The following is a 24,005-nucleotide window of genomic DNA, read 5'->3' as shown; positions in this document are numbered from 1 at the left end:
GTACTTAAGGATGATGCCTATTGAATAGACTTTTAATTTTTTTTTTTAATTTCTCAAAAAAATAGAGACAGGGTCTCACTATGTTGTCCAGGCCAGTCTCAAATTCCTGGGCTCAAACAATCCTGCCTCAGCCTCCCAAAATGCTGGGATTACAGGAGTAATCCCACTGCCTGGCTGAGTATGCTTTTATTTATTTTAATTAATTAATTGATTTAGAGACATAATTTTGCCCTGTCTCCCAGGCGAGAGTGCAGTGGCCCCATCTCCGCTTACTGCAACCCCTGACTCCTGGGTTCAAGCAATTCTCCTGCCTCAGCCTCCCAAATAGCTGGGATTACAGGCATGGGCCACCACGCCAGGCTAATTTTTGTATTTTTAGTAGAGATGGTTTTCACTATGTTGGCCAGGCTGATCTTGAACTCCTGACCTCAGGTGATCTGCCTGTCTTGGCCTCCCAAAGTGCTGGGATTATAGGCCTGAGCCATGGCGCCCAGTCTGGTTGAGTATGCTTTTAATTTGTATAGGAAATATAATCTAAGCATTACTCCATATTTCCATTAATACTTGACAGTTTTACTCATAACTCAGTCTTACTTTACCGACAGTCTCGTGCCCCTTTGGATTTCTGAATCTTGTCTTGGAGTCAGAACCTACTGGGTCTCATAATTTTCTTTTCTTTTTTCTTTTATTTATTTTTTTGAGACGGAGTCTCGCTCTGTTGCCCACGCTGGAGTGCAGCAGTGCGATCTCAGCTCACTGCAACCTCAGCCTCCTGGGTTCAAGCAATTCTCCTGCCTCAGCCTCCTGAGTAGCTGGGACTACAGGTGACCACCACCAAGCCTGGCTAATTTTTTTTTTTTTTTTTTTGGTATTTTTAGTAGAGACGGGGTTTTACCATGTTGGCCAGGCTGGTCTTGAACTCCTGGGCTCAAGCAATTCACCCGCCTCATCCTCCCAAAGTTTTGGGATTATAGGCGTGAGCCAACACACCCAGCCTGGGGTCGTACTTTTCTCAAGGACTATAAAGTTCTTTTTTTTTTGAGAGACAGGATCTTGCTTTGTTACCCAGGCTGCAGTTCAGTGGTGCAATCATGGCTTGCTGCACCTTCAGGGCTCAGATGATCCTCCCACCTCATCCTCCTGAGTAGCTGGTAGTACAGGCACATGCTACCACAGCTGGCTAATTTTTTAGTTTTTTGTAGAGATGGAGTCTCGCTAGCTATGTTGCCTAGGCTGGTCTGGAATTTTTCGGCTCAAGCAATCCTCCCACCTTGGCCTCCCAAAGTGCTGAAATCATAGGCATGAGCCACTGTCTGGCCTAAAGTTCTTTTTTTCCAAGTCAAAATCTGCAGCTCACATTTCTACTAGGTTGGTCTCATGCAGTTGAGAGTCATGTAGTAGTTCTGCTTTAGGAATCATTCTTACAAAGGAAGATTTCCTTTATTGAGATATAGATTTCACATACAAAAGGGTAACTTCTATGTTTGCAGTTCTCAAAATAATCAGCTCAAAATAATCCTTATGCCCAAAAGGCATGTTTTGGGTGGCATACTCAGGTGTCCTACAGTCATATTTTGGGGTGGCATATTTTCATCTCCTCCATGAGATTTTCATCTCCTCCTGAGAATAGAGGTTTATATAGTCAGAAATGGCATGCTGAAATGTCAACTAAGTGTAGGGAAGGAAAAATGCCTTCTTCACCCCTCTAGATTCTGTAGCTGGTCTAAGAATTAAACTAATATAAGATTAACAGAAGAAAAACAATCTTATTTATTTATTTTTTTTTCGAGACAGCATCTCTCTCTTTGCCCAGGCTGGAGTGCAGTGGTGGGATCTCGGCTCACTGCAGCCTCACCCCCCGGGGCTCAAGTGATCCTCCCACCTCAGCCTCCCAGGGAGCTGGGACTACAGGTATGTGCCACGATGCCTGGCTAAGTTTTGTATTTTTGTAGAGATGGAGTTTTGGCATGTTGCCCAGACTGGCCTTGAACTTCTGAGATGAAGCGATCCTCCCTCCTCCTCAGCCTCCCAAAGTGCCGAGATTACAGGCGTGAACAAATACGCCTGTGAGCCATGGCACCCAGCCTAAAAAAACAATCGTAGGGGAGGAAAAATAATCTTCTCTCTTAGTTACATATATATAAGTGGGAGTCTGACAAAAATATGAAAGGCCAGGCGCGGCGGCTCACACCTGTGTAATCCCAGCACTTTGGGAGGCTGAGGCGGGTGGATCACTTGAGGTCAGGAGTTCGAGATCAGCCTGGCCAATATGGGGAAACCCCATCTCTACTAAAAATAATAGAAAAAAATTAGCTGAGCATGGCAGCACATGCCTGTAGTCCCCAGCTACTCTGGAGGCTGAGGCAGGAGAATTGCTTCAACCTGGGAGGTGGAGGTTGCAGTGAGCCAAGATCTTGCCACTGTACTCCAGCCTGGGCAACAGAGCAAGGCTCCTTCTCAAAAAAAATAAAATAAAATAAAAAGAGATTCAAAGTAGCCAGATGATTGAGGTTTACATGCCATCCTGAGCTACAGAAAGATATACGGGCTTGGGGCTTCTATAGGGTGGTGGAGGCAAATTATAGGAGGGTGAGGAGAGGAAATGTATGGTGAGTAAAAGTTGCTTGATTATGCAGATAGAAGTCTCTCAGGTGATTAAAGTTGTGTCAGATTAGCTCTCTTCCTGATACAGATACTTTTATTAATGGACATTTCTTTTCTTGCCCAGGGTCTAGTCTTGAACTCCTGGCCTTAAGCGATCCTCCTGCCTTGGCCTCCCAAAGTGCTGGGATTACAGGCTTGAGCCACCACAGCTGGCTGGAAATTTTCTTTTCAAATGTAAATTTCTCTTACTTAAGGGGAAACTTACACTTTTTTTTTTTTTTTGAGACAAAGTCTTCCTCTTGTCCCCCAGGCTGGAGTGCAATGGTGCGATCTCGGCTCACTGCAACCCCCGCCTCCTGGATTCAAGCTATTCTCCTGTCTCACCCTCCTGAGTAGCTGGGATTACAGGTGCCTGCCACCATGCTTGGCTAAGTTTTGTATTTTTAGTAGAGACGAGGTTTCACCATGTTGGCCAGGCTGGTCTTGAGCTCCTGACCTCGGTGATCCGCCCACCTCAGCCTCCCAAAGTGCAGGGATTACAGGCATGAGCCACCGCGCCCAGCCTTTTTTTTTTTTTTTTTTTCAGATGGAGTCGCCCTGTCACCAGGCTAGAGTGCAGTGGTGTGATCTCAGCTCTCTGCAACCTCTGCTCCCAGGCTGAAGTGATTCTTCTACCTCAGCCTCTCGAGTAGCTGGAACCACAGGTACACACTGCCATGCCTAACTATTTTTTAATATATTTTTTATTAGAGATGAGTTTCACTATGTTGCCCAGGCTGGTCTCAAACTCTGGACCTGAAGCGATCTGCCTGCCTTGGCCTCCCAAAGTGCTGGGGTTACAGGTGTGAGCCACCGCACTCGCCCCAACTATTTGTATTTCTATTAGGTTAAAATTTACAAGTTAATATGCAATTTCAGAGTGTAGGCCATAATTAATAGTAAATAGCAAATAAAAAATATATACCTTAAGGCTGGGCGTGGTGGCTCATGCCTGTAATCCCAGCACTTTGGGAGGCTGAGGTGGGTGCATCGATTGAGGTCAGGAGTTTGAGACTAGCCTGGGCGACATGCTGAAACGCCGTCTCTACTAAAAATACAAAAATTAGCCAGGCGTGGTGGTAAGTGCCTGTAATCCCAGTTACTTTGGAGGCTGAGGTAGGAGGATTGCTTGAGCCTGGGAGGTCCAGGCTGCAGTGAGCTGAGACAGAGCTGCACTGTAGCCCGAGTGACAGAGCGAGACCGTGTCTCAAAAAAAAAAAAATATATATATATGTATATATATATATATATATATATATATGTATATATATATGTGTATATATATATGTATATATATATATGTGTATATATATATGTATATATATATATATACTTAAATATACATATAAACATATTAAGTTTATATCACAGCATTCCTTTTTTTCTAAGTCTTCAAAATCCAGTGTATATTTAACACTCACAGCTCATCTAAATTTGTATCCTAAACTTCCATCAGAAATAGTGATATAGGAGTTGAAAAGAAATTATTCAGGCCGATAGTGAGGGTAAGGAAGTCCTGGATAAGGGTTCCTTTTAATTAAAAGCAGCCTCTAAATCATTTCTTTACGAACAAAGAGCCGCCTGTAAAATCGAGCTGCAGACACAGATAAGCAAGCTGGAAGCTTGCACGGGTGAATGTTGGCAGCTGTGCCAATAGGAAAAGGCTACCTGGGGGCCAGGCTTGTTCAACATGGAGGCTCCATCTTCCCTTTTCTTGTCAACAACGTGTACGATAAGGAGCAGACAACATGGCACCGGCCAGGTAGAAAATCCATTTGCATAATAAAAATGTTAGGGTGAGGCTGGGCGCGGTGGCTCACGCCTGTAATCCCAGCACTTTGGGAGGCTGAGGCGGGCGGATCACCTGAGGTCAGGAGTTCGAGACCAGCCTGACCAACATGGAGAAACCCAGTCTCTACTAAAAATACAAAATTAGCTGGGTGTTGTGGCGCAAGCCTGTAATCCTAGCTACTCGGGAGGATGAGGCAGGAGAATTGCTTGAACTCTGGAGGCAGAGGTTGCAGTGAGCTGAGATTGCGCCATTGCACTCCAGCCTGGGCAGCAAGAGGGAAACTCCGTCTCCAAAAAAAAGATTAGGATGGCTTGGCCAGCTCTTCCGGGGCTATGTAAACATCACACCTGGTCCAACCAATCTTTGGGCCCTCCTCCTCAAGCTCGTCTGTAAAACCTGTGCATTTCTCCAGGAAACCAGAAGACCCAGCCAGGCGCCCCAAGACCCATTCTCTTTTCTCTTTCTTCCGCCTATTAAACCTCTACTCTTAAGCTCACTCCACACGTGTCCGTGTCCTTGATCTCCTTGGCATGAGGCAACAATCCTCGGGTATTACCCCAGACGAACGGGACTGCTTCAATAATTGATCTACATTTAGGTTTCATAAAATTTACAGTTGAAAAAGTTGTTCCAAATAAAAGTAAAAACATACTTAAAACTTTTCCAATAACTGAACAGAGTATTGGTTCTTAAAATAAAATATTTGGTGCCTTATCCACATTTCACGTGCTCAATAATCACAAGTGGCTTGTGACTACAGAATCAGACAGTGTAGAACTAGAGAATTCCATAATCCGTGGGCGTCTCTGGGACCACACTTCTGTACGACATTGAAACAACATTCATTTATCCCTTTGCCTTTTTTCCAAGTTTAGGATAATTTTTTCTAAGAGTTCTGAGGGTATATTGTTTACCTTGATTAAAAAAAAATACTATTGGGATATAATTCCCATACCATATAAAGCACCCATTGTAAGTTACAATTGAATGCTTTTAAGTGTATTTACAGAGTTGTGTGACCATTACCACAATCAATTTTAGAACATTTTCATCACCCTAAACAGAAACCACCTCCCCATTAGCTGTCACGCTCCATTTCTCTTCTCTCCACCATAGTCCTAGGCAACTACTAATCTTCTTACTTTCTGTCTCTATGATTTGTCTATTTGTCTATTCTGGACTTTCACATGAGTGTTTAGTCTGTTTTGTAGCATGTATCAGTGCTTAATTTCCAAATAATAATTATATAGATTTGCCGTATTTTATGTATCTGTTCATCGGTTGATGGACATGTGTGTTATTTCTCCAGATTCTGTATATTGACTAACACACATTCTCAGCTGGGGTCACTCATGTGGCTGCATTCAGCTGGAAACTGGGCGGGGGTTCCTCAGCTCTCCACCACATGCCTCTGTCCATACGGTGTCTCATCCTCCAGGGCCTCATTACATGGCCCCTCTTTTTTCAGCAATATACCTTGGACTTCCTTACAACATGGAGGCTGGGTTCCAAGAGAGCCAAACAGAAGGTACCACTTCTTATGGGCTAAACTGCACCTTCATTATTGCCATGACATTCTATTGGTCAAAGAAGATCACAATGTCAGCCCATATTTAGGGAGAGGGAAAAGGACTCCACTTCTTTTCCTTTTTGAGATGGAGTCTCACTCTTGTTGCCCAGGCTGGATTGCAATGGCAGGATCTCAGCTCGCTGCAACCTCCACCTCCTGGGTTCAAGCGATTCTCCTGCCCCAGCCTCCCAAATAGCTGGGATTACAGGCGCCTGTCACCAGGCCTGGCTAATTTTTGTATTTTTAATAGAGACAGGATTTTGCCATGTTGGCCAGGCTGGTCTCAAACTCCTGACCTCAGGGGATCCACCTGCCTCGGACTCCCAAAGTTCTGGGATTACAGGCGTGAACCACCACACCCAGCATGGACTCCATTTCTTTAATTTTTTTTTTTTTTTTTTTTTTAAAGAGAAGGTCTCACTCTGTCACTCAGGCTACAGCCTCAACCACCTGGGCTCAAGCAATCCTCCTGCCTTAGCTTCTTGAGTACCTGGAACTACCGGCATGCACCACCATGCCCAGTTAATGTTTATTTTTATTTTTTGTAGAGTCAGGGTCTCACTATGTTGCTCAGGTTGGTCTTGAACTCCTGTCCTCAATCAATTCTTTCACCTCAGCCTCCAAAAGTGTTGGGATTACAGACGTGAGCTAGGGCACTGGCCAGGATTCTTCTCGATGCGAGGGAGGAGTGTTATGTGTGTATAGGGAGGGGAGAGATTGTGGGTGACATCTTTGGATTCTGTCTACTACATCCACATTTACCTTTCCTCCTGCAATTAGGCAGGGACTTTCACTAGTTTTGGACAAGGGGCTGTGAGCAAAAGCGACATATTTCATTTCCAAGCTGAAGCAAAAAAAAAAAAAAAAAAAAAAAAGGCCTGCACAATCTTCCAGATCTATTATCTCCTTCTGAAATCAAAAAGGTTTGATGGTAAAGTTACTGAGCTGCTCCATGGGAGATAGTTACCCTGGGAGTCACTCAGACGGGCAGCAGAGTTTGCATAAGCAACCAATAAACCTCTGTTATGTTAAGCTACTGGAGTTTTGAAGTTGTTGGCTAGGGCAGCATCACAGAGCCCATTTTTTTTTTTTGAGACTGAGTTTCACTCTTGTTGCCCAGGCTGGAGTGCAATGGCGCAATCTTGCCTCACCACAACCTCTGCCTCCTGGGTTCAAGCGCTTCTCCTGCCTCAGCCTCCTGAGTAGCTGGGATTACAGGCATGCGCCACCATGCCCAGCTAATTTTGTATTTTTAGATGAGACGGGTTTCTCTATATTGGTCAGGCTGGTCTCGAACTCCCGACATCAGGTGATCCACTTGCCCCGGCCTCCCAAAGTGCTAGGATAACAGGTGTGAGCCATCGTGCCCGGCTGCACAGAGCCCATCTTGATGAAAACACATGACTTATGTCCTTACTTTGCCTCTAACCCTGACATTGATGCTCCTACAGCTCTACAGTTTGGCTCCTTGCCTCATCTGTTGCCCCTTTATACTGTTGCTTCCGACTTCTCTGGGTGAACTTTTGCCTAATACAGCTTGGTCCTGGGACTTTACACCCCTGGTGGTTGGTGTACCTGCCAGGTTGGCCCTGGATTCTCCCCAGGACCTGTCACAGAGAACAGAGGGAAGTTGCAGCCAGGTAGTTGAAGGTTCTTGTGGCTGAGTAGGCAAAGGGATGCCGCGAAGTTTTTTTTAATTTGAAGAGGGATTTGAGGTAGAAAAGAGTTTGAAGAATAATTTGCTAATGAGAGCAGGATCTATGGCAGACTGGCAAAGTTGAAGAATTATCAGTAGGTTCACGCCAAATGTGGTAATAATTAGATTTGCATAATGCTTTTTATCTAAATTTTCACTTATAACATTCCTTGTTTATCTTCATAGTCCTATAAGATAAGCATTATTCTCTCTTTGTAGCTTGAAAGTCAAGGGTTAGAGAGGCTAGTGTTTTGCAGTATGTAAGAGGCAAAACAAGTACTTTGATTACACTCATCAATTCATTTATGCAATCTTATTTGATTTAATTAACATCCCTTTTTTGAATCCTGCTAGACTAGAGCTCCCAAGCCTTTGCATCATGGGACACACAGGAGGATACTCTTTGCCTGGTATTTCCAGGGCACATGCTCTTTGGTGTAGCCCATAGAGAACACTCTCGGATGGTGGGTGTTATGCCTAAAGTCTTTTGCCAAGATAATAAGAACTGAATTTAAGTATACAGAAAGAGCCACACAAATAATGTTTAAATATAATTTTAACTGGAGTAAAAATCTAAATGCCTATGAAAACACAATTTTAGATTCTGTATCACTATAAAAAATTTACAATCATCAGCATCTCCCGGGACACCTGTAACCTGTTTATGCCATACCAGGGTGCTATGATACATGAGCTCAGAAGCTCTGGGCTAGACACTGTACTCTGAACTGAGAGCACAAAGATGAAGGAGACAAAATCCCTATCCAGCAGAATTAAGTCCAACAGGAAAAGACCAACAAAACAATTCTTACAATGGAGTTTAATAAATCTGGTGATGGAAATATATTTAGGGTGTGTCTACCTCAGTCTATGGGGGTGAGGCTGTATTAGCCATTCCTTTTATTTTCTGATACTTTGACATCTTCACCTTAAACCTTGCTGACCCTGGACAGACAATCTCTCCTAGGTTTGGCTGATTCTTAGAGATAGCAAACAACTTGCCTGTGAGCATGCCTTTCATATGCAAAACGACCAATCCAGAGCCCATGCAACCAACTCCTCCAGCGAGGCTCGTATTCTGGGTTGCTATGCATCTGCCCTAATCATCCAGTGCCAGATACCAGACAACGAGGGACAGCCCCTGTGCCCCAGAGCCTGATGAAATTATTCAAACTAGCCAGGCCTAAACTTGCTCACCCTCCCTTGCCTATTCCTTTCTTCTTGTGAAAACCACAATAAAGGCTCTAGCCCACTTTCCCCCCTTGCTTTCACTGCCTCCTGACTCACCCCGGTGTTTCCCATGTAGCTCTGCCTCCTGCCATTTGCGTGGCATGGCCCCTTCCCTTGGGAACTGTGAGTATGACACTCTATCTTTCAAACTGCAGTTGTCTCCTGATCTATTTATCTTTCCATACCTAAATTATCATAAAAACCTATATTTTAACACAACTTGGCCAGGTGCCCTGGCTCATGCCTGTAATACCAGCACTGAGGGAAGCCGAAGTGGTTGGATCACGTGGTCAGGGGATCGAGACCATCCTGGCCAACATGGTGACACAGGGTCTCTACTAAAAATACAAAAATTCCCTGGGTGTGGTGGCGCGTGCCTGTAGTCCCATCTACTCAGGAGGCTGAGGCAAGAGAATCGCTTGAACCAGGGAGTCAGAGGTTGCAGTGAACTGAGTGCAGTGGCGGGATCTTGGCTCACTGCAACCTCCACCACCCGGGTTCAAGCGATTCTCCTGTCTCAGTCTCCTGAGTAGCTGGGACTACAGGCATGTGCCACCATGCCCAGCTAATTTTTTATATTTTTAATAGAGACGGGGTTTCACCATGTTGGCCAGGATGGTCTCTATCTCTTGACCTCAAGTGGTCCGCCCACCTCGCCCTCCCAAAGTGCTGGGATTACAGGCGTGAGCCACCGAGCCCAGCCAAGAGGGGAAGGTTTAAGACTTTAAGTGATATGTGGGAAGCAGAACCAACAGGATTTGAACCTGAGCCTTCCAACTCATAGCTTGAACTGGTGGTCAGTACTATTCTTTTTTTTTTTTTTTTTTTTGAGACGGTCTTGCTCTGTGGCCCAGGCTGGCGTGCAGTGGCGCAATCTCGGCTCACTGCAAGCTCTGCCTCCTGGGTTCACGCCTTTCTCCTGCCTCAGCCTCCTGAGTAGCTGGGACTACAGGAGCCCGCCACCACACCAGGCTAAATTTTTTTTGTATTTTTAGTAGAGACGGGGTTTCACCGTGTTAGCCAGGATGGTCTCAATCTCCTGACCTCGTGATTCTCCCACTTCGGCCTCCCAAAGTGCTGGGATTACAGGCGTGAGACACTGCACCCAGCCAGTGGTAGTACTATTCTTAGGCCCAGACAAAAAGGGCACCTGATTTGGGTCCTGTGCTTTAGAGGGCACTGCTCTAGTGTCCCTGGCCAAGCCCCTTTTCATAGAGTGAGGAGTGCATCCAGGTGTATCTTCTCTGCCACCTGGAGACAGCCTGCCTGCAGAAGTAAAGAATGGACAAGATACGCAAAAAGAAGAGCTGGAGATGGAGGGGCCTGATGATCTCATCTGAGTCTTGTACTTATCCCATCACACCCTGACTTTATCACCAGAATGCTCAGTTACATAGCTAATTAATTGTGCCATTTTTGTCTATGGTGGGTTGACATAGATTTATATTACAGATGTCTCCAGTGGTTCAACCTATGATTTTTTGACTTTATGATGTTCTGAAAGCAACATGAATTCAGAATATTCCTGGACTTACAGTGGAGCTCTGTTTAAATAAACTCATTATAAGTTGAAAATATCATAAGTCTAAAACACTCCTTTGACTCGTAATTTTTTTTTTTTTTTTTTTTTGAGATGGAGTTTCGCTCTTCTTGCCCAGGCTGGAGTGCAATGGTGTGATCTTGGCTCACCGCAACCTCCACCTCCCAGGTTCAAGCGATTCTCCTGCCTCAACCTCCCAAGTAGCTGGGATTACAGGCATGTGCCACCATGCCCGGCTAATTTTGCATTTTTAGTAGAGATGGGGTTTCTCCATGTTAGTCAGGCTGGTCTCGAACTCCCGACCTCAGGTGATCCACTCACCTTGGCCTCCCAAAGTGCTGGGATTACAGGCATGAGCCACCGCGCCCAGCTGACTTACAATATTTTCAACTTCCAATGGCTTTATTGGGATGGAGCCCCATGGTAAGTTGAGGAGCACCTGTACCTTTGATGAAAATTTCCTGACTACATAATCATTCAGTGGGTTCATCCTGTCCACTGCACAGACAAAATCAATTCACTGGGACCACAGCATTGCAGTAAAGAAAGAGTTTAATTGATACAAAGCCGGCCATGCCACATGGGAGATGGAGTTATTACTCACATCAATCTCCCCCAAAATTTGGAGGCTAAGGTTTTTCTTTTTCTTTCTTTCTTTTTTTTTTTTTTTTTTGAGATGGAGTCTCCCTCTGTCGCCCAGGCTGGAGTGCAGTGGCGCGATCTCGGTTCACTGCAGGCCCTGCCTCCCAGGTTCATGCCATTCTCCTGCCTCAGCCTCCCGAGTAGCTGGGACTACAGGCGCCCACCACCATGCCCGGCTAATTTTTTGTATTTTTTGTAGAGACTGGGTTTCACCGTGTTAGCCAGGATGGTCTCGATCTCCTGACCTCATGATCCACCCGCCTCAGCCTCCCAAAGTGCTGGGATTACAGGCGTGAGCCACCGCGCCTGGCGGGTTTTTCAAAGGTAGTTTGGTGGGCAGGGGCTAGGGTATGGGTGGGTGCTGCTGATTGGTTGGGGATGCCATGTGGAAAATGGTTCATGCACTGAGTCTGCTTCTGGGTGGGGGCTATAGGACCAGTTGAGTCAAGAGTCATGAGTCCAGGTGGGACCATCTGGTCATCAGAAATGCAAAATTCTAGCCTAGGCAACACAGTGAGGTTCTCTGTCTACAGAAAAAAAAAAAATTAGCCAGGTATGGTGGTGCATGCTTGTAGTCCTAGCTACTTGGGAGGCTGAGACTGAGGTGGAAGGATCACTTGAGCCTGGGAGGTTGAAGCTGCAGTGAACCATATTCGCACCACTGTACTCCAGACTGGGTGACAGGAAAGACCCTGTTTAAAAAAATACATAATCATAAACATAAATTATTTTCATTATTTATTTATTTATTTTTTGAAACGGAGTTTCACTCTTTTTGCCCAGGTTGGAGCGCAATGGTGTGATCTCAGCTCACTGAAACCTCTGCTGCCCGAGTTCAAGCAATTCTCCTGCTTCAGCTTCCCAAGTAGCTGGGATTACAGGCACCCACCACCATGCCCAGCTAGTTTTTTTTGTATTTTTAGTAGAGACAGGGTTTCACCATGTTGGCCAGGCTGGTCTCGAACTCCTAACCTCAGGTGATCTGCCTGCCTCAGCTTCCCAAAGTGCTGAGATTACAGGCATGAGCCACTGCGCCCAGCCAAACATAAATTATTTTCAATAAGAACTTTTTATTGTGGTAAAAAATACATAACAAAATTTATTATCATTGCCATATTTAAGTGTAGAGGTTTTGTTTTTTTTTTTTTTTTTTTTGGTAGAGTCTCACTCTGTTGCCCAGGCTGGAGTGCAGTGGCATGATCTCAGTGCAGTGCAACCTCTGCCTCCTGGGTTCAAGCGATTCTCGTGCCTCAGCCTTCCAAGTAGCTGGGATTGCAGGCATGCGCCACCACGCCTGGCTAATTTTTGTATTTTAGTACAGACAGGGTCTTGCCATGTTGGCCAGGCTGGTCTTGAACTCCTGGCTTCAAGTGATCCACCTGCCTCAGCCTCCCAAAGTACTGGGATTACAGACATGAGCCACTGTTTTAAGTGTCTTAAGTGTAGAGTTCTGTCGCTTGAATCTGGGAGGCAGAAGTTGCAGTGAGCCAAGATCACACCAGTGCACTCCAGCCTGGGTGACAGACTGAGACTCTGTCTCAAAAAAAAAAAAAAAAAAAAAGTATAGAGTTCTATGGCATTGAGTACATTTACATTGTTGAGCAATAATTACCACTATTTATCTCCAGAGCTTTTCATCATCTCATACTATACCTATTTTTTGAAAAACTGGGTGTATTTTACTTCCAATCATACTATAGCCTTTAATCAATAACCTCCTATTTCTCCAACAGTCCCATTACTAGGTATCTACCCAAAGGAAAAGAAGTCATGCTATCAAAAAGACATCTGCACGTGTATGCTTATTGCACAATTCAAAATTGCAAAGACATGGAATTAACCTAAGTGCCCATCAACTGATGAATGGATAAAGAAAATATGGTATATGGGCCGGGCGCAGTGGCTCACGCCTGTAATCCCAGCACTTTGGGAGGCTGAGGTGGGTGGATCACCTGAGATCAGGAGTATGAGACCAGCCTGACCAACATGGTGAAATCCCATCTCTACCAAAAATACAAAAATTAGCCAGGCGTGGTGGCAGACACCTGTAGTCCCAGCTACTCGGGAGGCTGAAGCAGGAGAATCGCTTGAATCTGGGAGGTGGAGGTTGCAGTGAGCCAAGATCATGCCATTGCACTCCAGCCTGGGTGACAAGAGCAAAACTCTGTTTCAAAAAGCGAAAAAAAAAGAAAATATGGTATATGTATATAACATATATACATATACACCGTGGAATACCACTCAGCCATAAAATAGAATAAAACAATGTCTTTTGCAGCAACTTGGAGGGGGCTAGATGCCATTATTGTAAGTGAAATAACTCAGGAATCGAAAACCAAATAGTGCATGTTCTCACTTATGAGTGGGAGCCAAGCCATGGGTACACAAAAGCATACAGAGGGGTATAATGGACATTGGAGACTCAGAAGTGTAGAGAGTGAGAGGGGGTGAGGGATGAAAAACCACCTATTGGGTACAATGTACACTACTCAGGTGATGGGTACATTAAAATCCCAGACTTCACCACTGTACAATTCATCCCTGTAATAAAAAACCACTTGTACCTCTAAAGCCGTTGAAATTGAAGAAAAACCCCACGCCTCCCCATTCCTGCCTGCCAATTCCAGCCCCTGGTAATCACTGTTCTACTTTCTGTCTTTGTGTATTTGATTTTTATAGGTACCTCCTATAAGTGGAATCATTCAGTATTTATCTTTTTGTTTCTGACTTATTTCACTTAGCATAATCTTCAAGGTTCATTCATGTTGTACCATCTGTCAGACTTTCCTTCCTTCATTGGCTGTACATGCCACATTTAAAAAAAATTATTTTTGGTTGGGCATATTGGCATACGCCTGTAATCCCAGCACTTTGGGAGCCTGAGGCTGGCAGATTGCTTGATCTCAGGAGTTTGAGGCTGGCCTGGGCAACATGGCGGAACCCCATCTCTTTAAAAAAGCATATTTATATTTATATTTATTTTCTGTAATTTGTGAATCAAGCAGCCTCCAGAACCAGAATATGTTCAGAGAGACTCCTAATACCATGTTTTGTTATCCATTCATCTGTTGTTGAACGTTTGGGTTGTTTATACTTTTTGGCTATTGTGGAAAATGCTGCTATGAACATGGGTGTACAAATATCTGTAAAATTGAAAGCCCTTGCTTTTAATTCTTTTAGTATATACCCAAAAGTAGGATTGCTGGATGATGTGGTAATTCTGTTTATTATTATTATTTTTGTTTTTGGGACAGGGTCTTGTTCTGTTGCTCAACCTGGAGTGCAGTGGCACCATCAGAGCTCACTGTAACCTAAAGCTCCTGGGCTCAGGTGATCCTTCCACCCTCAGGCTCCTGAGTAGCTAGGACTATAGGCATGTGCCACCACACCTGGCTAATTTTTTTCTTAAAAAAATGTTTTAAAATAGTAATAGGGATCCCACTACATTTCCCAGGCTGGACTCCAACTCCTGACCTCAAACGAGTCTCTTGCATTGGCCTCCCAAAGAGCTGGAATTATGGGCATGGGCCATTGTGCCCAGCTGAATTCTGTTTACTTTTTTGAGGACCTGCCATATTGTTTTCTGCAGAGGTTGCACCATTTTACATTCCCACCAGCAATTCATAAGGGTTCCAATTTCTCTACCTTCATACCAACATTTCTTTTTTTTTTTTTTTTTTGAGATGGAGTTTTGCTCTTGTCGCACAGGCTGGAGTGCAATGGTGTGATCTTGGCTCACTGCAACCTCTGCCTCCTGGGTTCAAGCGATTCTTCTGCCTCAGACTCCCGAGTAGCTGAGATTACAGGTGCACACCACCATACCCAGCACATTTTTGTGTGTTTTTAGTAGAGACGGGGTTTCAACATATTGGCCAGGCTGGTCTCGAACTCCTGACCTCAAGTGATCCACCCACTTCGGCCTCCTAAAGTGTTGGGATTACAGGCATGAGCCATCGTGCCCGGCCCATTCATATCAACATTTCTTGTTTTCTGTTCACCTCCCTCGGTCCCCGTGGTAATAACCATACTAAAGGGTGTGAAGTGGTATTTCACTGTAGTTTTTTTTTTTTTTTTTTTTTTTTGAGACGGAGTCTCGCTCTGTCGCCCAGGCTGGAGTGCAGTGGCGCGATCTCGGCTCACTGCAAGCTCCGCCTCCCGGGTTCACGCCATTCTCCTGCCTCAGCCTCCCAAGTAGCTGGGACTACAGGCGCCCGCCACTACGCCCGGCTAATTTTTTGTATTTTTAGTAGAGACGGGGTTTCACCGTTTTAGCCGGGATGGTCTCGATCTCCTGACCTCGTGATCCGCCCACCTCGGCCTCCCAAAGTGCTGGGATTACAGGCGTGAGCCACCGCGCCCGGCCTTTCACTGTAGTTTTGATTTGCATTTCCCTAATGATGAGTGGTGTTGAATATCTTTTCATGTGCTTGTTGCCCATTCGTATACCTTCTTTGAAGAAATGTCTATCCAAGTCCTTTGTCCAGTTTTTTTTCCCAACATCATACTGTAAGTCCTACTTTGCCCAAATTTTTAATTGGGTTGCTTGCTTTTTTGTCGTTGAGTCATAAATATAAGTTTATAAAAGTTAAATGCATGTTTCAATTGAATTTGTTTATATTGTTTGGGCAGTCTTCCAAACATTTTAATTTTGAGAAATATTTTTAAAATTGCAACAAAGTTTTGAAACAATTTTTGAACTGCAGTCAAAACATTTTTGTTTTTTTTTCTGTTTGAGATGGAGTCTCCCTCTGTTGCCCAGGCTGGAGTGCAGTGGCACGATCTCGGCTCACTGCAACCTTTGCCTCCCGGGTTCAAGGATTCTTCTGCCTCAGCCTCCCGAGTAGCTGGGACTACAGGCGCTCATCACCACACCCAGCTAATTTTTTTCGTATTTTTAGTAGAGATGGGGTTTCACCATATTGGCCAGGCTGGTCTCAAACTCCTGACCTCGTGATCCACCTGCCTTGGCCTCCCAAAGTGCTGGGATTACAGGTGTGAGCTACTGCGTCCGGCCCTTTTTTCTTTTGAGATGGAGTCTTGCTCTGTCGCCCAGGCTGGAGTGCAATGGCGCGATCTTGGCTCACTGCAACCTCCACCTCCCAGGTTCGAGCAATTCTCTGCCTCAGCCTCCCGAGTAGCTGAGATTACAGATGCACGTCAGCATGCCCGTCTAATTTTTTTTTATTTTTAATAGAGATGGGGTTTCACCATCTTGGAGAGGTTGGTCTTGAACTCCTGACCTTTTGATCCACCTGCCTCAGCCTTCCAAAGTGTTGGGATTACAGGCGTGAGTCACCGCTCCTGATACAGTCAAAACATTAAAAAAAATTTTTTTTTTTTTTTGAGACAGAGTCTTGCTCTGTGACTGAGGCTGGAGTGCAGTGGCACCATCTTGGCTTACTGCAACCTCCACCTCCTGGGTTCAAGCGATTCTCCTCCCTCAGCCTCCTGAGTAGCTGGGATTACAGGTGTCCCACACCATGCCTCGCTAATTAAAACAGTTTATTACTAACAAGATACTGAACTATTTTTACACCAAACCCAGTCTTGCTGAAGATCTGGCATTAATTAGCAAACACAAGGATCAATAAGTGATTGCTGGAAACAGGACTTTTCTGAACTTCAAAGGAGAGCAGGAGAACCTAGGCCAGCAGGACACCTGCACAGGTCCAGCTTATCGCCTGTGCCCTTTCCCTCCCTCTCCTTCCTCCCAAAACTACAGCCCATTTGACAAAGCAAGGCTCATTCAGGTGAGTTTGGGTTGGCTGAGGATTCCCTTTGATGCCACATTATCTGGGGAGCAGACATGAAGGAGCAGATGGTATGTTCCACAACTCCAAAGCAGTTTAATGTTATCTAGTATTTGTGCGGTGTTTTATAGGCTCTAAAGTGTTAACACATGTCATTCCATTTTATGCTCATAATAACCCCGTGAGAGGCCTTAATATCTTCACTTTACGACTGGGGAAATGGAGCTTCCCCAAGGGAATGGTAAGTGTTTGCTTTCCTAATCATGCTGCCGTACTGTCTTGGTCCACTTTTTACTCCTGGGCCTTTATTTCTGGGTCTTTATCCTTGTTTGGGTGTGTGCTCAGAGGACTCTCTTGGATCTGGGCCTTCCTTTGCTTGTGAGCCCAGGAATGGGTGTTTCAGCTCTATCATTCTTCCCCTGGTGCTGGATCAATTTCCTTTGCCAGAAGGCTGCAGGCTTCACTGTGCTCTGTGGATACGATGAATTTTAAAGGTCTTTGGCTGAGAAAAGTTTCTTCCAACTTGGAGTAAAAATGGAAAACGTGTCTCCCAAATGCACTATGATGTTGCTTGAGTAAGAGTGATAAGAAGGCCGGGCGCAGTGGCTCACACCTGTAATCCCAGCACTGTGGGAGGCCAAGGCGGGCGGATCACTTGAAGTGGGGAGTTCGAGACCAGCCTGGGTAACATGGAGAAAACCCGCCTCTACTAAAAATACAAAAAATTAGCTGGGCATGGTGGTGGGCACCTATAATCCCAGCTACTCAGGAGGCTGAGGCAGGAGAATCGCTTGAGCCCAGGAGACAGAGGTTGCAGTGAGTCGAGATCACACCACTGCACTCCAGCCTGGGCGACAGAGCAAGACAAAAAACAAATAAACAAACAAACAAACAAAAACAAACAAACAAAAAACAGAGAAAAGAGTAATAAGTATTTTTGGAATAACACTGAGAACACACTGTCAAATCCCTGCATTCCCTATCTTATCCTTAAAGGTTTCCTCATCTCACTTTGGTTTTCAGCAAACCCCTTATCTCTACTTAACAGGTGAGAATAGTAACTCCTGGAGAAGTAAAGAGACCAGTCTGAATTCATACGATTGACCAGAAGGAGGTATAAATCTTTTTCTCAGGCTCCTCTTTCCATTTCAACCACCAGTGGAAATGCACAAAAATTACAAGTAGAATAAGATTTCATGGTGATTTGTTTTCCAGGAGAAATAGAATGGGTTCCATTTCCTGAATTTTCAGGGCACATTTTGTAATTTAGTACAACAATTAGGATTTCCCAGTTTTATCACAGCTAAATAAATAAATCAATAATATTGGGGTGATATTGAAACACATTTAATAATAAATATACTTCATTGAATCCTTTTTGCTTGCTGTAATAATTTTTACTTATTTTTCATGCAGTTGTTATCACTTAGTGTTTTTTTTTGTTGTTGTTGTTTTTGAGACAGAGTCTTGCTCTGTCGTCCAGGCTGGAATGCACTGGTTCACTGTAGCCTAAACCTCTTGGGCTCAAGCAGTTCTCCCACCTTAGCCTCCCAAGTAGCTGGGACCACAGACATGCACCACTATGCCTGGCTAATTTTTTTTTTTATAGAAATGGGGTCCCACTATGTTTCCCAGGCTGGTCTCAAGTTCTGCTCCTGGCTTCAAGCAGCCCTCCTACCTCAGCCTCCCAAAGTGCTGGGATTACAGGTGTGAGCCACCATCCTGGCCATCACTTTACTTTTTAGAAGTTGTTTTTTTTTAGATGGAGTTTTGCTCTTACTGCCCAGGCTAAAGTGCAATGGCGCCGTCTCAGCTCACTGAAACCTCTGCCTCCCAGGTTCAAGCGATTCTCCTGCCTCAGCCTCCTGAGTACCTGGGATTGCAGATGCCCACCACCACGCCCAGCTAATTTTTGTATTTTTAGTAGAGATGGAGTTTCACCATGTTGGCCAGGCTGGTCTTGAACTCCTGACCCCAGGTGATCTGCCCGCTTTGACCTCCCAAAGTGCTGGGATTACAGACGTGAGCCACCTTACCTGACCTAGAAGTATTTTATATTGCAGAAAAAAACTATAGAAATTTGTTTTATTGCCAGGGAAATATTTAGAAATTTGGACTGACATCACCATGATAATTTACAGTAATGGGAAGGCATTGACCTCAAGAACTTAGGGAACAATTGATCATTCCTGGAAACAGAGCATTTTGTGACTTGCAGAGTAAACTTTGGGCCAGCGGTGTTTTCCCCAGATCCTACTGTAATTTGACCCTTCCTTCATCCCAAACCCACAGCCATTTGACACAAAAGGCATATTCAGGAGGGCTTCCCTTTGATGCCACAGTATCTGGGGAGCAGGCCTTAGGGAGCAGAAGGTGAGCCCAACAATGATAAAGAAATTAATATGATCTAATGTTTTCTTAATGTTTTATAGTGTACAAAGTGCATGGTTATTTGAACCTTGCAACAGTTCTATAAGGTCAGTACAAGTCCACAATTCCTTACCCACAATTCTAAAATTCCAAAAAAGCTATACCATATTCTATTACAAGGGTTGCGTTAGATTCTCTTGGAGATGTTAGCTATATATGGTATATATGGTATGTTAGCCATATATGGTAGCTATATATGGTATGTATATATGGTATATATGAACTGTTTCTTTTGCAAATCTTTAACTTTTTGAATTCTAAAACTCACCTGGTGCAGAGTTTTGGACAAGGAAATGTGGACCTGAATTGCTACCCCTATTTTACCTATGAGGAAACACAGACTTCTTGAAGGGACAGCCTTCCCCCTAGGACTCTTGGGCAGAGTGGGGATGATGAATTGTAAGTAGGTGGTAGTGAAGGTTGTGAAGGTTCCAGGTGAGGGTAACTTCTGTACACCCTGCCTCACTCTTTCTCTCCTGGTCTAACACAGCCTCTAAAGACCAAGGTGCCTGTAGTTTAGGCACTCATGGGTTACTCCATCTCCTAGCCTCTCCAACGATACGATTTCCAGCAGGAATGGCCTGCATCTGCAGGTGTGGGCTTTTCCTAGGAATTTTGCATTTCTCTTACCAGACAATTGAAACACCACCAATGGAGGAGATATTTAGCACAAAAGAACATAAGATTTATTTTTACAATCAAAAAGCAGTCCCAAATGGAATAATTAGTCTCAGGAGGCAGATTATTTTCTTTATTTATTTATTTTGAGACAGGGTTTTGCTCTGTTGCCCAGGCTGGAGTGCAGTAGCATGCTCACGGCTCACTGCAGCCTTGACCTCCCAGGCTCAAGTGATTCTCCCGCCTTGGCCTCCTGAAGAGCTGGGACTACAGGTATGCACCACCATGCCTGGCTAATTTGTGTGTGTGTGTGTGTGTGTGTGTGTGTGTGCACATGTTTTTTTTTTTTTTTTTTTTGAGACAGTCTCCCTCTGTCACTCAGGCTGAAGTGCAGTAGCATGATTTTCACTCACTGCAACCTCACCTCCCAGGTTCATGTGATTCTTGTGTCTCAGCTTCCCGAGTAGCTGGGACTACCAGCACAAGCCATCATGCCTGGCTAATTTTTGTACTTTCAGTAGAGATGGGGTTTTATCATTTTGGCCAGGCTGGTCTCCAACTCCTGACTTCAAGTGATCCACCCACCTTGGCCTCCCAAAGGGATGGGATTATAGGCGTGAGCCACCATGCCTGGCCAGATTTATTTTTTTAAACAAATTTATACAAAGATTCTACTGCAGACCAGGTCTTGTGATAGATTCCAGGAGGAGGTGGGTGGGTGGAAAAACAGAAGAGAATAACATTGATACCCTTTGCTTGTCTTCAAGATCAGGGGTTGGCGAACTCTAGACCATGGCCTGGTCTTGCATGGCCAGTGAGCTAAGAAGGGTTTCACATAAAAATTGTTAAAAATAAGCAAGCAAGCAAACAAAAAAGAAAGAAGAATATGCAACAAAGACTTATGTGGCCATAAAGTCTATTGTATTTGTTATCTGGTCCTTTACAGAAAAAAGGTTGCTGATGCTTGTCCAAGATGAGCAAATGAGGAAATTAGACATATAAGGAAATAACTAGCTCTGAACTATATATTAAAAAGGGTTATTATTATTATTATAATTTTTTTTTTGGGACGGAGTCTTGCTCTGTCACTCAGGCTGGAGTGCAGTGGTGTAATCTTGGCTCACTGCAACCTCTGCCTCCCAGGTTCAAGCAATTCTCCTGCTTCAGCCTCTGAGTAGCTGGGACTACAGGCGTGTGCCACCACTCCTGGATAATTTTTATATTTTTTGTAGAGATGGGGTTTTGCCATATTGCCCAGGCTGGTCTTGAACTCCTGAACTCAAGTGAATCTACTCACCTTGGCCTCCCAAAGTGCTGGGATTACAGGTGTGAGCCACCACGCCTGGCCTGGTCTTTGATTTTTAAAGTTAGTCTGAAATAAATATACAAGGAAGAATAAAAAATAAACTTTTTTTTTTTTCTGTGGCCCAGGCTGGAGTTTGGTGGCACAATCATTACTCACTGCCACCTAAACCTTCTGGGCTCAAGTGATCTTCCTGCCTCAGTCTCTTGAGTAGTTGGGCCTACAGGTGCAAATCTCCACACCTGGCTAATTTTTTTTTTTTTTAGAGACAGGGTTTCACTATGCTGCCCAGGCTGTTCTGGAACTCCTGGGCTCAAGTCATCCTCCTACCTCAGCTTCTCAAAGTGCTGGGATTACAGTTGTGAGCCACTGCGCCTGGCCCAAAGAAACACTTAATAAGGTTTTGCATTTGATAAACAACTATTTTATATGTACGTGTAAATGTAGGCATTAGCCTTCTTGGAATCACAATATGTTGTTAAGCTGTAATAATTTAAACGACATAGTACTCGTACAAAAATAGATGAATCGACCCTAAGTAAGAACTCATTTAATGCCTACTAAAGGCACTAATTGTGATGAAAGGCGGGGTGGAGTGGCTCATCCCTGTAATCCCAGCACTTTGGGAGGCTGAGGTGGGTGGGTCACCTGAGGTCAGGAGTTTGAGGTCAGCCTGACCAAAATAGTGAAACCCTGTCTCTACTAAAAATACAAAATTAGCCAGGCGTGGTGGCACATACCTGTAATCCCAGCTACTTGGGAGGCTGAGGCAGGAGAATCGCTTGAACCTGGGAAGCAGAGGTTGCAGTGAGCGGAGATCGTTACATTGCACTCTAGTCCGGGCAACCAGAGCGAAACTCCATCTCAAAAAAAAAAAAAAATTATGATGGAAAACAATCCATAAACAATGTTGGGAAAAAAAAATTTGCAAGATGAAGAAAGATCAATTTAGATGTTCACCTCAGATTTACATGAAAATTAATGCCAGAGGTATTAAAAATGAAATTTAAAATATCCAGAATTGGCCGGGCTTGGTGGCTCATGCCTGTAATGCCAGCACTTTGGGAGGCTGAGGCAGGTGGATCATGAGGTCAGGAGTTCAAGACCAGCCTGGCCAACATAGTGAAACCCCGTCTCTACTAAAAATACAAAAATTAGCTGGGCATGGTGGTGCGTGCCTGTAGTCCTAGCTACTCAGGAGGCTGAGGCAGGAGAATCGTTTGAACTCGGGAGGTGGAGGTAGCAGTAAGCCAAGATCATGCCACTGCACTCCAGCTTGGGCAACAGAGTGAGACTTTGTCTTAAAAAAAAAATCCAGAATTTACAAAGAAAGGTACTAAGTGGATAATAAACATTTATGAATATGTAATGGAAGCCTCAGGTCCCCTTTCTTCCAGCTACGTTTTCATTGCCATTCCCAGTAGTTCTGGTACTGCGGGAAAAATCTACTGTAGAAAATTACCCAATTCAACTGAAGAGTGCCAAGGAGACCTATTTTTCTCCTGTGTGTTTCTGCATTTCAGCCAGTTCCTGGGCTCTCATCTATTCCTTATCATCCATCTGTTTGGGGATGCCATTGTTTTTGTCTGGTTTCCTTTGTCCTGTTGTTCTTTCCCAAACAGGACACCACATCTCTTCCTTTTTTCCTCCAAAGCATTGGTAAACACCAAGCTGTTGCATGCATTCTAACTTTTATTGAGTATTTGATGGTGGAAACATGGCTTAGAGTAATTACAACAAAGGGGAGAAAACTGTAAAATTTTGCATTGGCCATTTTCATTCCTAAAATTTTTTTGGATTGGAGGAAGCGTTCATGTGTGTTTTTTAGTACCACCTGGAGTCAATTTCTTTCATTCAACTAATGCATATTGAAGGCCCACTGTGTGCCAGGCATTGTGCATAGGCCTGGACATCTGGTGGACAACCACAGACATAGATTCTGTCTCTATAAAGAAGGAGACAGGTATTAAGCAAATACCTATATAAATACTCAAATAAAAAAATTCAAAAGTTTCAGGAGAAGGAGCTTACAAAATCTTTCCAATAATAGTATCTTAGTATTCAGAGACAAAGGTCCATCAGAGTAGTATGACATCTTCCAGGTTTGTCCTCTATCCTCGTCTCCTTAGATTCCTGTCTGAGTCCAAGAGAGAGACAGACTGCAAGAGACACTGAAAGAACAGTGTCACTGAGGTCACTGAGACACCTGGAGACATGTCCTGGTCTGGTGCCCATCATGGGAGCAGTGAGGCGTTTCCCTTCTCCAGCACCCTATGAGGTGGATGACTTCCATGCCTTGAATAGCAAGAGATGTGCCGGAGGCCTGGGAGTGAGAGGAAGCAGTGCCTTAAACACCAGCAACTTGTCCCGACACCAGATCCAGCATCAGAGGCAGCAGGGATGCCAAATCATACGGTTGGTGTTCAGCTGTGGTGTGTGCCTACTGTGGTTTCAGTAGGCAGTGCTGAAAGGAGTCAGGGTGGGCTGGGAGTATGTGTGGAATGGAGAAATGTTTGTTAGCACACACAAGATGCCCCTTGGGATTATGGACTTAAAAGGGGACCAGAAGTCTCCTTACAATGGGAGGGCATGAAAGCCAGAGAAATTCCTGTCTCATTAATGCTAACTCACCATGACCCCTGGGCTGATGATACTCTAGGGAAGTATCAGTTATGTTAAAAAGAGTTAACAGGCTGGCTCGGTGGTTCACGCCCGTAATCCTAGCACTTGGGCAAGCTGAGGCAGGAGGATCAAGGTCAGGAGTTCTGGAGTAGCCTGGGTAACATGGGGA

General features: G+C 44.5%; 3 annotated features.

The window, feature by feature from the left end:
* Nucleotides 1,929-2,223: a silencer, noted in NCBI's record as "tiled region #3396; HepG2 Repressive DNase matched - State 9:DNaseU, and K562 Repressive non-DNase unmatched - State 21:Repr". NCBI's record gives its function as "represses a minimal TATA promoter and a strong SV40 promoter by Sharpr-MPRA in HepG2 and K562 cells {active_cell/tissue: HepG2 | K562}" and the evidence as "EXISTENCE:reporter gene assay evidence [ECO:0000049][PMID:27701403]".
* Nucleotides 1,957-2,157: a silencer, noted in NCBI's record as "peak434 fragment used in MPRA reporter construct". NCBI's record gives its function as "represses an SCP1 promoter by STARR-seq MPRAs in K562 erythroleukemia cells {active_cell/tissue: K562}" and the evidence as "EXISTENCE:reporter gene assay evidence [ECO:0000049][PMID:32103011]".
* Nucleotides 18,873-19,391: an enhancer, noted in NCBI's record as "OCT4-NANOG hESC enhancer chr1:160931121-160931639 (GRCh37/hg19 assembly coordinates)". NCBI's record gives its function as "activates a minimal SCP1, AML or CMV promoter by ChIP-STARR-seq in primed H9 embryonic stem cells {active_cell/tissue: H9 hESC(primed)}" and the evidence as "EXISTENCE:reporter gene assay evidence [ECO:0000049][PMID:30033119]".

Source organism: Homo sapiens, chromosome 1 (assembly GCF_000001405.40).
Source record: "Homo sapiens chromosome 1, GRCh38.p14 Primary Assembly".
NCBI lineage: Eukaryota > Metazoa > Chordata > Mammalia > Primates > Hominidae > Homo > Homo sapiens.
This window is presented reverse-complemented; position numbering and strand designations above follow the sequence as displayed.